The 16,475-nt window shown below is 47.5% G+C and overlaps 1 protein-coding gene across 3 annotated transcripts in view, besides 2 other annotated features; it reads left to right on the top strand.

Moving 5' to 3' along the window:
* Nucleotides 3,403-3,921: an enhancer, noted in NCBI's record as "H3K27ac-H3K4me1 hESC enhancer chr8:42066103-42066621 (GRCh37/hg19 assembly coordinates)". NCBI's record gives its function as "activates a minimal SCP1, AML or CMV promoter by ChIP-STARR-seq in primed H9 embryonic stem cells {active_cell/tissue: H9 hESC(primed)}" and the evidence as "EXISTENCE:reporter gene assay evidence [ECO:0000049][PMID:30033119]".
* Nucleotides 3,922-4,440: an enhancer, noted in NCBI's record as "H3K27ac-H3K4me1 hESC enhancer chr8:42065584-42066102 (GRCh37/hg19 assembly coordinates)". NCBI's record gives its function as "activates a minimal SCP1, AML or CMV promoter by ChIP-STARR-seq in primed H9 embryonic stem cells {active_cell/tissue: H9 hESC(primed)}" and the evidence as "EXISTENCE:reporter gene assay evidence [ECO:0000049][PMID:30033119]".
* Nucleotides 4,941-16,475, top strand: part of PLAT (plasminogen activator, tissue type) — a 32,848-nt gene continuing 21,313 nt past the window's right edge. For all 3 annotated transcript variants that reach the window (NM_033011.4, NM_001319189.2, NM_000930.5), the window contains exon 1: nt 4,941-5,012. The gene's annotated coding sequence lies outside the window, so the exon portion shown is untranslated. The remainder of the gene's footprint in view (nt 5,013-16,475) is intronic.

The raw sequence follows: 16,475 nt of genomic DNA, 5'->3' as shown, positions 1-16,475 counted from the left end.
GGTAAATGGACTGGACCAGAGTCGTGCAACTGACCTCAGAGGAGAGAAAGGAAACTTTCTGACTTCCAACCCCAGGCTCATTCCAGTAGCCTGCACATTCACCACGGGGGTGTATTTGAAGATTGATAGCTGGCGATGTGTTAGGAGGCTCAAAAGAGGTAGATTTAGGAGCAGAGAAAGAAAGTTCTGTGTCGGAGAATCAGCAAACCAACCTGAGAAACTCAACTCACTCCACAAAGGAATTGATTGAAAATTAGATGTGTTCAAAAATAACTTGAATAAACTCATGGATACTCCATCATAAGTTATTAAGGAAAATTCCTATTCTTCTGACACGCTTCCATGAACAACCAGGTCCTTCCAGTGCCAGAGAGAGAGTGTTGGGCTGGGCACACCCAGTGTGGAGCCAGTACATCTACTTTTATGAAAGTCATTTAGAAGCATCACTAAAGGAACTGAAAAACAATTGACCAATAATGACAGTACTCCAACACCTAGTTTTATCTTCTAATCTCTATCCATACATCTATGTAGTGTTTATATTATTATTATTTTTTGAGATGGAGTCTCACTCTTGTTGCACGATCTTGGCTCACTGCAACCTCCACCTCCCAGGTTCAAGTGATTCTCTTGCCTCAGCTTCCCGAGTAGCGGGGATTACAGGTGCCCGCCACCATGCCTGACTAATTTTTGTGTTTTTAGTAGAGATGGGGTTTCACCATGTTGGCCAGGCTGGTCTCGAACTCCTGATCTCAAGTGATTTGCCTGCCTCGGTCTCCCAAAGGGCTGGGATTATGGGTGTGAGACACCATGCCTGATCTACATTATTTATATCACAGCTCATGTACAAATTTATTTTCTTCTTCTTTTGGGCAAGGCAATTTTATGATTTATTTTGGTATGTCGGTATAATTATGTTATCAGTCATCTCAATGGCTACACAATATTGCAGTATTCTAACATGTCCTAGTCTACTAGGCCCCTATGTTTTGACATCTAAGTTATTTTCAGTATTTAGACAGTCAAAACAATGTTGAATACTTATCATTATCTTGTATGGGGATTTAAAAAATGCATGTCAGCAGGCTAAATATTCAAAAAATTACTGCTCCAAGAAAATAATCCAATTTTTAACTTAATATTTTGAAATAATTTCAAACTTACCAAAGAGTTGCAAGAATAAAGACCTCCTCCTACAGTTTGGTGAACAGCTCTTAACAAGAATAAGATTTGTAAGAGTCCTTCCCATGCCTTCAGCTTGTCCTGTTTTGATGTTTCTCATTGTTTGTGTGGAATTCACACAACTGGTGCTGTTACCACCATGGGCGTCTAGTCTGGATCAGTGGTCCTCAGTCTTTTTTGCACCAGGGACCAGTTTTGTAAAGATAGCTTTTCCACGGACAGAGGGAGGGGAGATAGTTTCGGGATGATTCAAGAGGATTACATTTATTGTGCACTTTATTTATATTACTATTACATTGTATTATATAATGAAATAATGGTATGACTCAGCATAATGTAGAATCAGTGGGAACCCTGAGCTTGTTTTCTTATAACTAGATGGTCCCATCTGGGGGTTATGGGAGACAGCGACAGATCATCAGGCATTAGATTCTTATAAGGAGTGCACAACCTCAATCCCTCGCATGTACAGTTCACAATAGGGTTTGCACTCCTATGAGAATCTAGTGCCACTGCTGATCCAACCGGAGGTGCAGCTCAGGCAGTAATGCGAGTGATGGGGAGCGGCTGTAAACACAGATGAAGCTTCACTGGCTCTCCAGCCACTCACCTCCTGCTGCGCAGCCTGGTTCCTAACAGGCCACGGACAGATACCAGCCCATGGCCCCAGGGCCGGGGATTCCCAGTCTAGATGGAGACCTAGACAAGGCGTGCGACAATAACACCGATTTTAGATCCATCATGACATTTACCCCATCCCCTGCAAAGCCAGATGGCTACCAAAATTAAATCTTAGTTTAGACACAGAATGTCCGTCTTCTGGTCCAAAACATCCTTGTCATAAGTTTCTTGGCTGGGCGCGGTGGCTCACACCTATAATCCCAGCACTTTGGGAGGCTGAGGCAGGTGGATCACGAGGTCGGGGGTTTGAGACCAGCCTGACCAACATGGTGAAACCCCGTCTCTACTAAAAATACAAAAAAATTAGCTGGGCGTGGTGGCGGGCACCTGTAATCTCAGCTACTCAGGAGGCTGAGGCAGGAGAATTGCTTGAACCTGGTGGAGGTTGCAGTGAGCCGAGATCACACCACTGCACTCTAGCCTGGGCGACAGAGCAAGACTCTGTCTCAAAAAAAAAAAAAAGAAAATAAAAAAAAAAAAAACAAGTTTCTTGCCCACTCTTCCTTTCTCTGAGTTTCCAGAGACATCACATCATTTCTTACCCAGCTGAGCAGAGTCCCAGCATGGCTCTCGTTCGAATACCCATCCTGCCACCTGCCCCAGTGAGAAGGGTTGGAGCAGCCCCTGTTCTCTGCCCCCGCCACCTCCATGACTCATGCATTCTGTGGGGGAGGCGCCCACTGCAGAAACAGCCAGGCTGGCTGGGAAAAGCCCTGCAGCAATTCCCCGTCCAGTTTCTCTGTGCCCACTTTGTCTCCGTGTTATCTAGGCCTGGATTTATTTCTCTTTTTTGAAAATGAAGGGCTTTGATGAAATGTTCACAGGATGTGAGGTCACCAAGATTTTTTTCCTTTTTTTCTGTTCTTTTCTTTTCCTCGAAGTGATCCCTTGACTAAAATCAAGGCTCCCATTGTCACCTTATCAGCCTGCCCATGCCTAATTCTGCATTCTCAGGCTTCCCCAGAATCTGTCCGAGGGAAACCAATCTCAATTCAGAAGGAACACAGAGGCCCCAGTTTCTAGGGCTGCAGGATATTGCTGGGTCTTAATCATTCGGGTATATTTCAGCAAAGCTCAGGGCCCCTGCTAATGATCTGCAAACCCTCTCCTCTCAGTCTCCCGTTGTTTAGCCCCTATTTATAAGTGAGTGCATGTGGTTGTTCACTTTCTGTTTCTGAGTTATTTCAGTTAGGATAATGGTCTCCAGTTTCATCCATGTTGCTCCAAAAGACAGACTTCATTGTTTTTTACGGCTTTGTCGTATTCCTCGGTGTATATGTGCATTTTCTTTATCCAGTCCTCCATTGATGGACACTTAGGTTAATTCTGTGCCTTTGCTATTGTGAATTGTGCTGTTGTGAATTGTGTGTGATAAACGTGTGAGTGCAGGTGTCTTTTTGATGTAATGATTTCTTTTTCTTTGAATAGATACTCAGTAGTGGGATTGCCGGGTCAAATGGATGTTCTATTTTTAGTTTGGGAAATCTCCATATTGTTTTCCATAGAGGTTCAGGATCCAGGATTTAAGTGCAACCATTCAGTGGAAAACCATCCTCTCAAGAGTTCAAATGAGAGTCCTCATGACCAGCACTCCCTGCTGAACGGCAATGCCCCACCCCCCAAAAAAGCCTCCATCCTCACCATCTTAGACCACATTGCAGGAAAGCAGCCCCATGCCCACCAGACAGGCCCACAGCTGCTGCTGCTCATGGGAGGTCTACCTCCCGTGCTCAGCAGGCAACCCACCCCAGTGCCCCTTTTCTACAATGACCATCAGCAGGGCTGCAGCTTCATAAAAATGTGAAAAACAGTTTGAAAGCAATGTGAAAAGCAGTTAGGTGCCTTTCAACTTCAAACTCAGCACTCATGGTTTGACAAATATGAGTATATTTAGGATCAGAATGTATGAAATCTGGCCTCTCCTGAATAGTCGGTCATCCCACAATTTCCTCTGCCAAACTTCTCTTCCCTCCCTGCGTTCTTTCTTTCACCTCTCTCTCATTTTTACAAGGTCTGGTCTCAGCCAGACATGAACCAATGATGATAGATGCTCCTGCTGAGCCCTGTGATGTGCCAGGGCCCTGACATGCGTGGCTTCTCTCTGATCCTCACGTGACCTGCAGATGCAAAAGCCAGAGCTCAGCATAGTTGAAAATCTTGATTGAGGTCATATCCCAGTTACTGGCACAGCCGGATTTAAACCTAAGACTTTCCCCTACACGACAGGGCTTTTATTTCTCAGTCATCTGAAAAGGTGTCAGCAAGGGAAATGGCTTGTCTATTTCCAGGGGCATTTTACAAGCAAATACTGAAAGGCTTCGGTGGGCTTAAGGGCTGATGGCTTTGATCGAATTTCAGGCATGTTGGCCCCAAGGCCCTGTGTATATTCCCTGGGCCCACTCAAGGGGATGCTGGAGCCGGAAAGTCCCCGGAGGCCACCTACTGCAGCCCTGCACTTTACAAAGAAGAGAAAGATTCTCCCTAAAATTACAGAACAGGGCCAAAGATGCCTACCGGAGCAAACCCCCATGGGGGCACCTCCTACCGCAGGTGAGCCCAAGGCTGGTCCTGCCTTCTCAGTGGCTACCCCCCTGAGCTCCCGCCACCACACAAAGTGTTCCAATCCTTGTGCATCCTCCAGTCCTTTTAACCTCTCATGTCCTGAGAGGCCAGAGCTACAGCCACAGATTCCAGAAGACACCCCACTCCCAGCCCCAACCTGCTGCCTTTAGAATTATAAACACTTCTTGTCATCACAGGGTCCTGAAAGTCCCTTTTAAGCCTGGGACACTAGGACTCTAAAGGAAGATGATTCTTAAGGTCCCATCCCACTTCCAAATTCCTGCGATTCAATGACATCACGGCTGTGAATAATCAGCCTGGCCCGAAGCCAGGATGGGCTGTGCTGCTTCCACCGTGAACTTCCTCCCCCTGCTTTATAAAAACAGGCCTGCCTCAGCTCCCTCATGGCCCTGTCCACTGAGCATCCTCCCGCCACACAGAAACCCGCCCAGCCGGGGCCACCGACCCCACCCCCTGCCTGGAAACTTAAAGGAGGCCGGAGCTGTGGGGAGCTCAGAGCTGAGATCCTACAGGAGTCCAGGGCTGGAGAGAAAACCTCTGCGAGGAAAGGGAAGGAGCAAGCCGTGGTAGGTCGGGTTTCTGTACCTTGGGGTCTGTCTCCTCTTCTTTCTCTTAAAAGTCTTTCCAGCAAGCTGAGCCAGTGAAGGAATGCTTTAACCAAGGGACCAACTTTGTAATTCAGGCAACTAGAGGATCCGCTAGAATCCACTCCAGAGGGGAGATGTCTGTTTGCATTTGCATGTGATTGGGATAGGCTGGAGTGTTTTGGAGGGGAGAGGCAGTCGGGGAAAGGGAGACTAGGGAGGTTGCATTCATTGGAGAAGCCTCTGCTGACAGAGTAAAGGGGAAAGTGAAAAGAACGATACAGAAAAGCCCCAAATAGCCTATGGGAGTACCTCAAGACGAGCAAGCAATAAAAGCAAAATCGGCTGCCTTGGGACACGTGCCTGTGACAGCTGGGAGGGCCCGCTGGGTCCCCTAGTTTCCTCCCTCCCCCGATGAACCCCCAGAAAGGAACTGAGGCTGTGGATGGGGCAGAGGGGGACTTACTTCCAGAGCACTATTTGCTAGGTGCTGGGAGAGAGAAGCAGGTGGCTTTCACACCCCACATTACCCCGTGGGATAGAGAAATGCCTCTGATCTCCCTAGGTGCCACCCCTACAAGTCTCCACAGGTCAGTTTGGCCCTCTGGCTTTTTGCCCAGGGTGCATCAGTCAAGTGTGCAGTCCTCCTTAAAGGACATTTTAATTACAGGGGAAAAAACTGACATTAATGTCTTTTATTCCTAAAGCACTCTGCAGGAAGCATGTGGGGTTCTCCAGATTTTCACTGTTATTATCTTTATTTTCTTAACCTCACAGGGAGGGAGAGAGGAAGGGAGGGAGGGAAGACGAAAACACGCCGAGGTCCCAGGTAACTAATGACAACTCAAGCTCAAAGAAGTGTGGTAACAAGGATGTGTTTGGTGGCCAATTGGGAATAATATGGTGGTCTCCTGTAGCTGCTTGATGACAGAAAAAATGTCGTGTGTGTGTGTATGCGTGTGCATTGCAGTCCCGGGAAGGGGTCTTGCAAATACCATTGTCAGGTGGAGTCCCCTCAAAGGTGACTTCCTAGCAGTACTTGCTGTGGCAAGAACGCTCATTCTGGGATCTAGACTCAATCCATGACGGTCAGCATGAGCTGCTGGGTGCGTGCTTCCTGTGCAGGCAGAGTCGGACTCCAGCACTGGCAGGGACACTGTGAGTATTGAGATATGAATAGCTCCATCCTGCCCACCCATTTATTCCACCTAAAATGTTCTCAAAGATGCAAGCCTCCAAGCTCTGGATCAAATGATAAAGCCCCAGATCAAAATCTCAGGAGCAAATGAAAGCTGCCCTTGTCTCCAAAATGCTCCTTCTCTGCCCGACTCCCCAAGACCAGCTTGGTTTATTTCACAATGACTCGCGTCGGATTCTCCCAGTGTCTGCGGCTCCCCCTGCTTCATCACAGGCCTGGGACAGTCCAGGCAGCCAGGGAATAGCTGGGAATAGCAGTTCCCCTTTGTTGGTTTTTGAGTTCACTGAGGCTTTGATTTCCCCCAGGGCCTGACGTTGCTGAGCAGAGCCAGCGGCCAGTAGATTTCAAAGGATTCCAAAAAACAGTCAGGCACTCCTTTGTGAACCCAAAAGTATCTGAGACAGGTCTGTCAATTTAGAAAGTTTATTTTGCCAATGTTAAGAACACACATGTGACACGGCCTCTGGAGATCCTGAGGACATATGTCCAAGGTGGCCAAGGTATGGCTTGGTTTCATACATTTCAGGGAGACATGAGACATTAATCAATGTATGTAAGATGTGCACCGGTTCGGTCTGGAAAGGCAGGACAACTCGAAGTAGGGGCTTCCAGGTCATAGGTAGATAAGAGAAGGCTTCATTCTTCTGAGTCTTTGTCAGCCTTTCACTGAATACACAATTTACATATGAGAGGGGGGCAGAGGAAGAGTCACTTATGCCTTAGTTGGCTCAGTGAATCTACTTTTTTTTTTGAGACGGAGTTTCACTCTTTTTGCCCAGGCTAGAGTGCAATGGCATGATCCCGGCTACTGCAACCTCCACCTCCCAGGTTCAAGTGATTCTCCTGCCTCAGCCTTCTGAGTAACTGGGATTACAGGCGCCTGCCACCACACCTGGTTAATTTTTGTATTTTTAGTAGAGACAGGGTTTCACCATGTTGGCCAGACTGGTCTTGAACTCGTGACCTCAGGTGATCCACCCACCTCGGCCCCCCGAAGTGCTGGGATTACAGGCATGAGCCAACATGCCTGGCCTGAATCTTCATTTTTACAAAAACAATAGGGCAGAGGAAGCAATCAGATATGCGTTTGTCTCAGGTGAGCAGAGGGATGACTTTGAGTTCTGTCCTTTGTCCTGTACCCATTTGCATTGCCAAGGTGAAGTTCAGCAGAACTGTTTTAGGGTAAAGATCTTGAAGTCCACAAGGAGTTTCCTTGTGGGTAAATTGTGAGAGAGGTATGTAGCCTTTTATCTTTGTAGCCGTCTTATGTAGGAATAAAATGGGAGGCAGGTTTGCCTCATGCAGTTCCCAGCTTGGCTTTTCCCTTTGGCTTAGTGATTTGGGGGTCTTGAGATTTATTTTCCTTTCATACCTTGGTAGTGTCACTTGAAGCCACCACGCCCGGCTAATTTTTATATTTTTAGTAGAGACAGGGTTTCACCATGTTGATCAGGCTGGTCTCGAACTCCTGACCTCGTGATCTGCCCTCCTCCTCCAAAGTGCTGGGATTACAGGCATGAGCCACCATGCCCGGCCAATTTTTCTTTTCTTTTTTTTTTTTTTTAAGATGGAGTCTCGCTTTTTCACCAGGCTGGGGTGCAGTGGCACAATCTTGGCTCACTGCAACCTCCACCTCCCAGGTTCAAGCGATTTTCCTGCCTCAGCCTCCCAAATAGCTTGGATTACAGGCGCCCGCCACCACACCCAGCTAAGTTTTCACCATGTTGGCCAGGCTGGTCTTGAACACCTGACCTCAAGTGATCTGCCCGCCTTGGCCTCGCAAAGTATTGGGATTACAGGCGTGAGCCACCATGCCCAGACAGGTTTTTCTTTGATTATTTGGCATTATGCACCTGCAGTCTCAGAATAAATTTTTTACTTTCTCTGAGTGATTTTCGCTTCTGCTTTGATGAGATTGTTGGGACGGACAATAAGGGACCAGTGCATTCTGCTCATTCCTTCTTGGGGCCATTTCTTTTGTATATACGGGAGAAAATGTCTGTCTATAGTGTCAGGCTATAAACCTCGTCCTAGTCAAGCAGCTCACAAAACCATATGGTGGGTCTCACATCAAACCAGGTAAAAGAGTGAGGATGATTTAGACTCAAAGAAAATTAGAGCTAGAAATAAATTTAAAGCTCATCCACCCTGCTCCAACCCTAAGTCAAGCCACATGGTCTTCCGATAGTGGCTCAGTTTTCTACTTACATAAAAAGACAGCACATTCTCTTAGCAATATGTGTTTGTATGTGTGTGTGTGTGTGTGTGTGTGTGTGTGTGTGTGTATATATATATATATATATATATAATTTAGAGACAAGGTCTGACTCCATCACCCAGGCTGGAGTGCAGCAGTGTGATCGTAGGTCACTGAACCTTCAAACTCCTGGGCTCAAGTGATCCTCCATCTCAGCCTCCCAAGTAGCTAGGACTACAGGGGCATGCTGCCATATCCAGCTAATTATAAAATTTTTTTGTAGAAGCAGAGTTTTGCTTTGTTGCCCAGGCTAGTCTCAAACTCCTGGCCTCAAGCAACCCTCTTGCCATGGCCTCACAAAATGCTGGGATTACAGGCAAGAGCCACTGTGCCCAGTCCCTCTTAGTGATATTTTGCATATTATATATTCAAAAAATATTTTCTATGTATGCCACTTGGGAAACTTCTGTAGAATGGGATAGAGGGACAGATAAACCCAATTCTTGATCCACTCAAAAATAACACCTGTGACAGAGTGAAGATGAAACAGGTGCTGGGCACACAGCAAGTGTTTTAGAAACATTTTTGAACTCAACTTTGCCTGAGTTGTGGTGCTGATCATGGCTGCCAGGAAATGCTAGCCAGCTGTTCTTCCTATACAAGTATATGACTGGGTGTCTGCAGCAGCTGCCCGGCTGTGAATTGCACACACCAATGGCCAAGACCCAGCAGCGACTTGGCTAACAGGCCCAGCCGATGTGCATGGGTGACCACGCGATGCTCCTGACACACGCACTGGTGGCTTAGGGAAGTTTTTTTGAGGATTGATCAGAAGATCTGATTCCACCTGGAGCCTCTGAAGTGATCACTTCCAGGTTAGGCTGAACCCAGATACCAGGAGACCTGTGTATTGAGAGCCTTTTGTTTTTTTTATGTAGTCACAACTATTCCATTAACATACAGCTAGGCATTAGAGAATCCATGCTGGACTCCTACAAAGGCCCCTAGATCCTTAGAACACTCAGAGATTCCAAAGCACACGTCCTCCCAGGACACCCTGGCAGAAGAGCCCGGGGGCGACTGTCACCTTTGCCTGCTGTCGGGAGCTGTGCTGATGGGTAGGGGGCTCTGTGCTTGCTGTGGCCCAGAGCCAAGCCGTGGGGATGTGCTCTGTCTGGAGCAGACCCCTTCACTGTCTGCCTAACTCCTTCGTGTGTTCCCGGAACAGCTTCTGTGTTATGCATTCCAGAAAGCCTGCCTGACCACCCCAACCTCAACAAGCCTGGGATGGACAACCTCCTCCACATTCCACTCCAAGCCCACCCCCGTCCCCACCCTGCTGCGTGGTATGGCGCTGCTCTGCTGTACCCTGAGTGTCTAGTTATTCATCAGGCCCCTTCCTAACTATGAGCTCTTTCAGGATAAGAGCTGTGTCTTTGCATCACCAGAGCCTGTGCCAGGGCACGGCTGGTGCTCCATACACGTTGATGGTGAATATATAGCATGGGTAGATCATTGTCTGTGAATGCTTAACAGAGAAGCAGCTCATGTGGGTGCTTGAGGGCTGGGGGGGCAGGGTGGGGGTCTGGTAGGCGCTGGGAGGAGGACATCCCTGCAGCTTCTCCAGCCCCATAGATGGGACTCTTGATGTGGGCAGTTTTTATTTCAGCTGAGTCTCCAGAAGGCAGGGGACAGGGACTGGGAGGGGATGCTAAACCCGATAACCCAGTATGGATGAGCTAACAGAGGCCGGGCACACAGCTCCTGCCTGTAATCCCAGCACTTTGGGAGCCCGAGGTGGGCGGGTTGCTTGAGCCAAGGAGTTTGAAACCAGCCCGGGTCTTGAACATAGCGAAGACTCTGTCTCTACAAAAAAATGAAAAAAAAAAAAAAATTAGCCAGACATGGTGGCACGCACCTGTAGTCCCAGCTACTTGAGAAGCTGAGGTGAGAGGATCACTTGAGCCAGGGAGGTTGAAACTGCAGTGAGCTGTGATCACGCCACTGCACTCCAGTCTGGGTGACTGGGCGAGACCCTGTCTCAAAACAAATAAATAAGAAAGAGAGACTACTGGTCAACTTGATTTCTGCTGGTTATTCTCTTTCTGTCATGTTCACCAAAAAGAGAAACCCGTTGTATTTTATCTTGTTGTAGCAAGAGCCGGTGTCTAACACCTGGGCTACTGAGAGAAAGCGAAGGGTTTTTTTCTGGGAAGCTCCAATTTCCTTATTTCTCTCACATGATGCCTCTGACTTTCATAGTGTGGCTTGGTCAGATGGGCCTTATCAATAGAGATGGCCTGATGTCTCAGCTGTGTCATCTCAGCTGCTAGTTCTGGCTTCTGCTGGGAGTCCACAGTGGCCTCTGCATGCATGGTGTGGGAAAGGCAAATAAAAAAGCAGATTAAAAACCAGATTAAAGACATCACCCTGTATTCAGGAAATAATGGCTCCTGTTGATACTGTTCTACGAACACAGATGAAGGCACAAAATTCTACATCAATTGCAGAGAATTGGTTATAGGCTAACACAGGTGGTCGGATGATCTAGGAAGCAGGATTCAGTATTAACGGGGATCCATGAGGACCCCATGAAGCGTGGCATCTCTTCTGCATCAGCAGCTTCAAGTTGTTCCAGGGAGAAGCGGGAAGCCTCAGTGCTTTTGTTGAGGAAGGATGTTCATGACAGTAGGTGCAGGTCGCTCCTGCCGTGCACCCAGGTGTGGGGGAAGGACTTTCCTGCTTCTTTTCCAGTTACCTTACAATTCAGCAAGACGGAAATGATTAGCCCATGACAAAAACCAGGAAACAGGCTCAGAGAGAGTGAGTTGCCCACACAGAATGTGTGCTGTAAATGCAGTTAGATTTCCAGGTTGAGAATCCAGTGACCACGCCCCTTCTTTGTGGCATTCTGCTGTCGTATACCATGTGGAACACATTAAGAACGTTATGGCCAGGCGTGTTGGCTCACGCCTGTAATCCTAGCACTTTGGGAGGCCAAGGTGGACAGATCACCTGAGGTTGGGAGTTCGAGACCAGCCTGGCCAGCATGCCGAAACCCTGTCTCTACTAAAAATACAAAAATTAGCCAGGCATGGTGGCACACACTTGTAATCCGAGCTACTCGGGAGGCTGAAGAAGGAGAATCGCTTAAACCCAGGAGGCGGAGGTTGCAGTGAGCTGAGATTGCACCGTTGCAATCCAGCCTGGGCAACAGAGTGAAACTCCATCTCAGAAAAAAAAAAAAAGTTACAATTGGGTGTCACATAGACAGTGAGGAGTAGTGGAAAGAGTGTTAGATTTGGGGTAAGAGAACTGTGTCTCCTGGGCTTGAGTCCTGATGCCAACTCTCACAAGATGTGTCACCGTACAGCACGACGCTTATACTTTTTTTTTTTTTTTTTTTGAGACAGGATCTTGCTCTGTCTCAAGCTGGAGTGCAGTGGTATGATCACAGCTCACTGCAGCCTCAAACTCCCAGGCTCAGGCCATCCTCCCACCTCAGCCTCCCAAGTAGCTGGGACTACAGGCATGTACCACCATGCCCAAATAATTTTTTGTATTTTTTTGTTGAGATGGGGTTTTGCCATGTTACCCAGGGAGGTCTCAAACTCCAAGGATCAAGCCACCCACCCTCCTTGGCCTCCCAAAGTGTTGGGATTACAGATGTGAGCCACCACACCTTGCAAATTTTTGTATTTTTTGTACAGCCGAGGGTCTCCCTATGTTGCCGAGGGTGATCTTGAACTCCTGGGCTCAAATGATCCACCCTCCTCAGCCTCCCAAAGTGTTGGGATTACAGACGTGAGCCACTGCTCTCAGCCCCTTACACTTTTTTGAAGTTCAGTTCTCCCATCTGTAAAAACGAGGTAATAATATTGCCTCAAATGACTTAATGGATGTGAAAGGGTTTAGTAAACTCTGTGCCTGGAAAGGTAGAAGCTACTCAAATATCTGTTGAGTGAGTGGCATTCATCCATGTGTACATTTCTCAGGCAACAATAATGTCACTTTCACCTAAGGCCAGTAAAATGTGGGTAAAGTCATATAATGATACAATGAAAGTTTCTGATCAGTATTTCCTAATTCAAGTGTGTTGAAATGTGGAGTTGGGCTGGAGAATTGTCAAATCATTGCGTATTTAATTACCTTGTGGTGATGTTTGCTTTAGGGAGTGGAAGGAACATGAGGAACGAACGACCTTCATCACGGAAGATGACATTCATTTCGATTCACTTTAGATTTCAGGGCTTGTTTAGATGCAGACTTTGCAGTTAACATTTTATTGCACTGACTGATTTAGTTTTCACCAGGTGGTCCTTGTGTTTGCTTCAGAAGGATCTAAGTGTATTAGGACAGGGTTTCTTCTGTTTTGATTGTGGGAGGAGGCGGGATAGACTTCTGTTTTCCTAGACCCACAACCAAAATTCCCCACTCCTCCAAATAACCGGGATTACCAGGCAGAGGGTGGAGCATTGAGGAGATGACAGCTGGACATGCCTGCTGTAGCTTTTTCTGAGTTTAATTCCATATAGCTTAGACACAGGCCATATGCCTACATTTGGAAGATGTTTTGGAGAAAATTCTGCTCTGATGGGTGGGGGGCAGGGTCTGCCAGGAAAATATTCTATTCTTTTGAAGACATGGGGTCTTGCTATGTTGCCTAGGCTGGTCTTGAACTCCTCGCCTCAAGTGATGCTCCTGCCTCAGCCTCCTGAGTAGCTAGGACTACAGGTGCAAACCACCACACCCAGCTCTGAGAGGATGCTATACTCTTCACTTCATTGGAATTGGTGAAATTAGATAAGAAACAGACTCTTCCTCTCTTCTCCCCTAGTTATAAACAGTTCTGTTAAGAGAGGGAAAATAACCATTTAGCCTATAGAAAATCACCTTTTCGAAAAGTTAAGAATTACTTATGTGATGGTAGTTTTTGAAAGTGGTTTTTATTCTGAGATCATGGCCTCTGTACTATGCAGGGCCTGGAGAAGTGGGATGAGAGCTACCAGGCTCAAAGCTCCTGTCCCGAACAAAGGGTTGCTTTCGTGGGAGCACGCCACCCTTTCCAAGGCTAGTTCCTCTCCCAGCATCTCACTTCAGCTCTCGTCCTGCTCTAGAAACGTGCCTTTGCTGGTCCAAGGAATCCTGGCCGTTTCTTTTCTTAATTGTTGGCATTCATCTGGGCTATGGTGGTTGTGGCGGGGGTGGCAGTGGAGAGTGTGTTGTTTTAAATCCATGAGTCATTTTAGGGTATTGGTACTCTTGAAGACTGACTTTCTCTTGCTCAGGTTTTCAGAGAGACCTTTTGCTAAGCAACAATAACCTAAGAATCTCCTTGACCAAAGATAAATGTAGCAAACTTTGCACATGGTGCAACATTTGATAATAGTATCAATTTACGTTTGTCTTTCCCTTGCAATTTCCCTCCTCCTCTAGCTTGCTCACGTTTCTGCCTTCTTCTTGCTGGCAAGAGTACAGACTATAATTCTCCAGTTCACTAACATCTGGAGCGACTGCACTGTTTGCAATTTCATTGATTGACTACATGTGTACAGTTCCTTTATTGCAAGTCACTTTTCTGTATAATCTTTTTTGAGACGAAGTCCTGCTCTGTCGCCCAGGCTGCAGTAGCGCAATCTTGGCTCACTGCAACTTCCGCCTCCCGGGTTCAAGCGATTCTCCTGCCTCAGCCTCCTGAGTAGCTGGGATTATAGGCGCCCGCCACCATGCCCAGCTAATTTTTTTGTATTTTTAGTAGAGATGGGGTTTCACTATGTTGGCCAGGCTTGTTTTGAACTCCTGACCTCAAGAGATCTGCCAGCCTTGGCCTCCCAAAGTGCTGGGATTACAGGTGTGAGCCACTGTGCCTGGCCATATAATCTATTTTTAAAATGTTTTTATATGAAAATAAACAGAGACAGAGTCTCACTGTGTTGCCCAGGCTGATCTCGAACTCCTGGGTTCAAGTGATCCTCCCACCCTGGCCTCCCAAAGTGCTGGGGTTACAGGCGTGAACCACCTCATGTGGCCTCGCTTTCCTATATAATTTAAACAATAGAACTATAGTGCCATTTGTAAGAGTTTCCCAGTTTATACTGCATGTGACACTCCCCATGTCGTATGTTCTCACAACAGAACAGAAACCGCAGGATGTCAGCACCGGAGGCAACCTTGGAGCATCCAGCCCACTTGGTTTTGCATTGCTGGCAGGAGATTTTATGCCTCAAAATATAGATGCTTTTTGGAAGGACAGCACATTAATTATTTTTCAGTCATTTTTACCTTATGCGAACAAGCTGATTAGTTCCTTTCCTAGGAGCTGGTTTTTATGGAGGGAAGATGGGGCCGGTAGAGGCAGATAGAGGGGGATGTAATACACAGGCACTGAGACAGCACCCCACTGACTTTCCCCTGTCCCTCCTCCAGCTGGCCTCCTCCTTTCCAGGGGCTGTGCCCAATCCAGAATCAGTTACTCACTGGTGCCCATCGACCATCATTTCCCCATGTGGCCACCAAAGAAATGAACACCACCTTTCTGGTTGGCATGATCATCAATTTCTCAGCCAAAACGGCATGCATCCTTGGCTCTGGGAAACAGTACATCTCCCAGGAAAGTGAGCTTACAGCACGGTACCCCACTTCCTGGTTACCAGACTATTGTTCCCGTTTTCCCCAAGAACAGTCATCATTCACAGGTTGTTTGGCAGGGCCCAGGAACAGAGTCACTCTGGTTGCTACAGCCAACAGACCAAACACGGCTTCCAGGCAGGAAGGTCAGAGCTGCTCTGCAGGATGCACATGCAGGTTGGAAGCAGACAGGGCTGGCCGAGCACAGATATGCTGGCTGTGTCCTACACACAGGTGCCTACACACACATCCTTCAGATCCGGGCTGCACTCTATCAGCCAACCCACGGACTCTGTTTTTTCTAATTTGCACAGATTCTTTGTCAACCTGCCATGCCCTGAGACTGCTGAACTTCATCCAACAGAGAGGGTACCTTTTGCAAATCTGCAAAAATCAACTTTGTGTGCTAGGGTGGCCTGACAGGGCTAGGCCTTGGGGTCTTGGGGACCAGCATTCCACCTCTCCTCTCATACAGTGATTCTGGATTCCAGCCCAGCAAAAGTCAGCCAACCTTGGGGCCTTCCTTTCTTTCATCCTTTCTTTTTTTTCCTTTTCTATCCTTCTGTGCCTCCCTTCCTACCCCCTTCCTTCCTTCTTCTCATTTGCCTTTTTTTTTTTCAGTTCTTTGATGATCCTGAGAAGCTACTAAATATAGCAAAAGGGAGATAACACAGAACAAAATTAGAAGTCTATTTATAAAAATGAGCCTCTTCCATCCCTTCCGCCAATGTCATCTCTCACCCGGGTCTCGCCAGAGCACTCATGGACCTCCCTTTGGTGAGGCCCAAAGTCCATCCCAGCCACGCCCTGCGGTCCCGAGTCTGAGTCCATTGTTCTGGCTTTCACTCTGCTCTGCATCCCGTCACTGGCCCCAGACCTCGACGCCCACCTCTTCAGCGAAGGCGAAACAAGGACTCATTTTTCCTCCCTCTCTTCGCTCTTTCTTGTTTTCAGACTGCACTGTTTTTCTGCTGGCCGGATGACTCATTTCTTTGTCATCTCTTACCCCACTTGGCCTTTTCAGCTGCTCGAATCGCCTCTGTGTGATGCGGACAGAGCTATCGCCCTGCTGGGGTGAGATTCACTTGCATTGAATCAGCTCAAGGCGCAGGAAGGTCCAGGGAAGCCAAGGAAGAGAAGAGACAAGTCTCCAACTCTCTCAGGAGCAAAGACAAAAATATGCTCCTGCTCTCTTATCTCTTATTCAGACCGTTCAGTTGCAAAAGGGTTGAACATGATGCAGCGGGTGGTATGTGTGGACCAGCCCTAGGTCGTGCTTCTCCTCCATCTGGTCCCCCCACCCCTAGTTATCCAGAAAGGGGGATGTTCCCAGGCAATGCCAACATGTCCATACTGCACTCTTCACATTGCAGTTTCCCGGCATCTGGGATTGCATTCCTTTTGGAAGGACTTTGAGTTCTTG

Source organism: Homo sapiens, chromosome 8 (assembly GCF_000001405.40).
Source record: "Homo sapiens chromosome 8, GRCh38.p14 Primary Assembly".
Taxonomy (NCBI): Eukaryota; Metazoa; Chordata; class Mammalia; order Primates; family Hominidae; genus Homo; species Homo sapiens.
This window is presented reverse-complemented; position numbering and strand designations above follow the sequence as displayed.